General features: G+C 44.2%; 1 annotated feature.

The window, feature by feature from the left end:
• Positions 266–1160: an enhancer, noted in NCBI's record as "H3K4me1 hESC enhancer chr6:81973001-81973895 (GRCh37/hg19 assembly coordinates)". NCBI's record gives its function as "activates a minimal SCP1, AML or CMV promoter by ChIP-STARR-seq in naive H9 embryonic stem cells {active_cell/tissue: H9 hESC(naive)}" and the evidence as "EXISTENCE:reporter gene assay evidence [ECO:0000049][PMID:30033119]".

Genomic DNA, 3751 nt, shown 5'->3' with positions numbered 1-3751 from the left:
AATCAGCTTTTCACATTTTATAGAGGAAGAAGCCGAGGGCTTGAAAGTTGTGATTTTCTAGCCATTCCTTTAAAAACCTATAACAGCAGACATCACCTGCTCAATGTAAGGGAATAAAAACTGTAATAATTATTTAGGACCTTCTTCTCTCTTTTCTTCCTACCTTCTTTCTTTCCTTCGTTTCTTCCTTTCTTCCCCATTTCTTCCTTTAAGATTTGAAAAGTTCTTCTAATGCTATCCATTCTAAATAAAGTACATGATTAAAGCTGTTATTCATAGATAAGATGTAGCTATAGCCCCATACTTTTTAATATAGCCCTATATTGAAGTCATGTTAATGGCAGCGGTGGCTGTCTGGAGCAGCCGATTTGAAGACGCTGGCTGTAGTGGGGAGGTGCGGCCAGGGCTGCATGCTCTACAGAGCTGGCGGGAGCTGGGAACAGGTGGAAGCCCCGTCCCCGTCTGAGTTGGCAGGGTGGGAGCCCCACTCTCCCAAGCACAGCTGCAGCTCCGGACCCGGACATCCCTGTGCTCTTGGGGGCCTGGGAAACCCCTCTGTCCCCACAGGCTTGGAAGTGCCTGCTTCCCTGCAAGGCCTCTCCCTGCTTCTGGCACCCACTCCAATTTTGGAGCAAAGTTGAGGCCAAGCCTGGGTGCTGTCCCAACCCTGCCCAGTGTACATGAGATCGGGGCAGTGCTGACACACCAGTCCTCTGCGTCTCGGCCCCTTCTGGACCTTGGACCCAACGAGCAAGGGAGCAAGGATGAGGGGGTGCTGACGGCAGCTCATCTCTAGACTGAAGGCACCCCTCAGCAGGAAGAGCCTGGGCACCATAAATGGCGGCAGGAGACAGACAAGCCCCGGGCAGAAAGGGATGGGCCCCTAATGAAGCTCCGTCTTCAAGCCAGGGACAGCCTAAAGCGCAGGGCCAGGCTGCCAGTTCCGCAGACTACAGTGAGAACTTCTGGTGCTTTTTCTGGGCCGCCCATAGACGCCCATGGATGCCCATGGACCAATCAGCTTGCCCTTCCTCCTTAAAGAGCCTGGATTTAGCCAGACTCAGAGGATGGGAAGGCCTGCCTGTGGAGAGGAGCTATCCAATGTCGGTCTTTTCTCTGCTGAGGGCTGCACAGATGCTGGGATGAGCTGCCTGTGGAAAGGAGCTATTCACTTTGGGTCCCCTAAGGGCTGTACCATTGCTCATTAAAGCACCTCTTCACCTTGCTCACACTCAAGTTGCCTGCCTACCTCTTTCTCCCTGGACATGGGACAAGAACTTGGGACCTGCTGAATGGTGGGACTGAAAGAGCTTTAATAGAAACAGGGTTGAAACAACATCCCCACTCTGCGCTCGTCAGTTGCCAGCAAGGAGAAGCAGAGAAGACAGAAGGAAAGAAGAGCTGCTGCCCTTTGGGGATCCCAGACCTAGGAACTCCTCAAGCCACAGCTGTGACATCCTCTTTTGCAGTACGCCTGGTCTAATGCAGCACTGCAGGAAGCCGGCACCTGTTCCAGCACCCGGAGCTGCCCACCCTGCCACAGCTGGCATGCCTGTCTGTGCGCAGTGGCCAGACTCCTCACCACTCTGCGCCTGGCTTGCCCTTGACAGGTGTGAGATCTGGGCCAGTAGCACAGCCGAGCACAGCCTGTCAGGCCAAGTGAGCAAAGTGAGCCCAGTGGACCCAGGCAAAACTCAGGCAGAGATGCCACCGGTCACAGAGGTTCCCAGCTGGTGAAGCGATAACCCAAGGATCCCATGACAATGTAATTAAAAGTACATTTTGGAATGATCTTATTATTGCCTCATTTCTACTTTTACTTTGTTTTTGTGTATCTGACATTCATGTATAATTATTCTTACATAAAGTAACTTATTTTCAAAATAAAACAACCACACATAAATTGTACGTTTTTCTTATACAAATAATTTTAAAGACAGTCATAATTGTTGACAGGTCTAGTGTTATGAATAGTATAAAACCAAATGTCTTAGCAATAATTTTTAAGTACTGTTATTCAGTAACTACGTACCTTATAGCTGGATTATTTTCATTTAAAGTGTCAGTAAAAGTAACATTAAGTAGAGAGAAGGCTTCAAACCCTGTAGCAAATAGTAGCCATTTTCTTCAGCCGAAAGTTTTCACATTAAAAATATTTAGTGCTTAAATGCAGACATTATGTTAACCTGGGGAAAAAATACAGGATTTAAAAACCTTATGTGAACTGCTCTAATTGAGCCAAAATACACAAATTATAGCATTATTACATTTGGAGGAGGAAAAGGACTATTAGTTCATTTAGTGTTTCCCCTGCTAAATTTGAACAGTTCCTTACAACATATTTCCTAACACTGTAAGTCTGGTTTTGAAAGTTTCACATGATAACACTTTTCAATACATCCTTAAGAAGCTATTAATCTAGTTGAGCCTCAAAGGACGTCTCTAATAGTGTCAAACTGGAAGCTTTCTTGTCTTAACATGACTCCACTAGCTTCCCTGCCAGGTACCCATCTCCAAAACTCCTCCTCCTCCTCCTCTTCCCCCTCCCCCTTCCTCTTCCCCTCCCCCTCCCCTTCCTCTTCTTCCTCCTCTTCGTTCTCCTCTTCCTCCTCCTCCTCCTTCCTCTGCTTCTTCTCCTTCCTCTGCTTCTTCTCCTTCCTCTTCTTCTCCTCCTCTTTCTTCTTCTTCTTCCTCTTCTTCTTTCTCCTTCTTCTTCCTCTTCTTCTTTCTCCTCCTCCTCCTCCTCCTCCTTCTCCTTCTTTTTCTTCTTCTTCTTCTTCTTCTTCTTCTTCTTCTTCTTCTTCTTCTTCTTCTTCTTCTTCTTCCTCTTCTCTTCCTACTCTCCTCCCTCCTCCTCCTAAACCTCCATTTCTTCATCTTCATCCTCCTATTATTCTCCTCCTTCTTCTTCTCTTCTTCTTCTTTTCTTCTTCTTCCTCTTCTTCTTCTTTTCTCCTTCTCTTTCTCTTTCTCCTCCTCCTCCTTCTCCTCCTTTTCCTTCTCCTCCTATTTTAACTGCATAAAACCAGTATGGAGGACACTTATATAAGTGGTAGAACTTTGCCAACAGTGACTGATTCCCACTCCTTCTCCAAGTTCAGACACTGACAGTAAAGTGTTGTCATTTGTTACTAAGTACCTAAAAGTATCTTGCTCTTTTTTCCAAATGTAGTGTTATCTGAAAGTGGCTAGGAGCACTTAAAATTATATATATATATATAATGTCCTAGAGATGGATGGGTTTCCTATTATTGTTAGCACTGTGTTTTCCCAGCCCTGTGTGAAAGCAGGAATTCCATCACATCAGCTTGTTTAAAAGAGATATGAGATGTCAAACTGAATAATTATCCACAGTCAATTTACTTTCTCTAAATTAGTTTAGAGAACAGAGGAAAACTGAGGTTTATACCTTGAGAATGCCAAGTCATTGTTTCAATCCAATTGAAATCTGAAATAGTCATTCTGAAAGAGAACTGAAAGGCATTTTTTGAAATTTGGGCAAACATATGCGAAAGTATAAACATATTCAGTTGAAAGGTACTTAAAACACGTATATTGATATGTGTGAGCCATTGTGTGCTACAATTGGCTTATACCTGCCTGGGTTTCAGGAATTTTGCGAGTTGAACATGCTCATGATTAAATATTAAATTACATAAACTAACAGATATGTTAAAGCAAGAGTAATAAATTCTAAATAATTATGTATTGATTATGTTAATACATTTTAGTGTTATCTATGCTCTTGAGG

The sequence above is a fragment of the Homo sapiens genome, chromosome 6, assembly GCF_000001405.40.
Source record: "Homo sapiens chromosome 6, GRCh38.p14 Primary Assembly".
Lineage (NCBI taxonomy): Eukaryota > Metazoa > Chordata > Mammalia > Primates > Hominidae > Homo > Homo sapiens.
The sequence above is the reverse complement of the archived record's forward strand: the minus strand, read 5'-3'. Positions and strand labels throughout refer to the sequence as shown.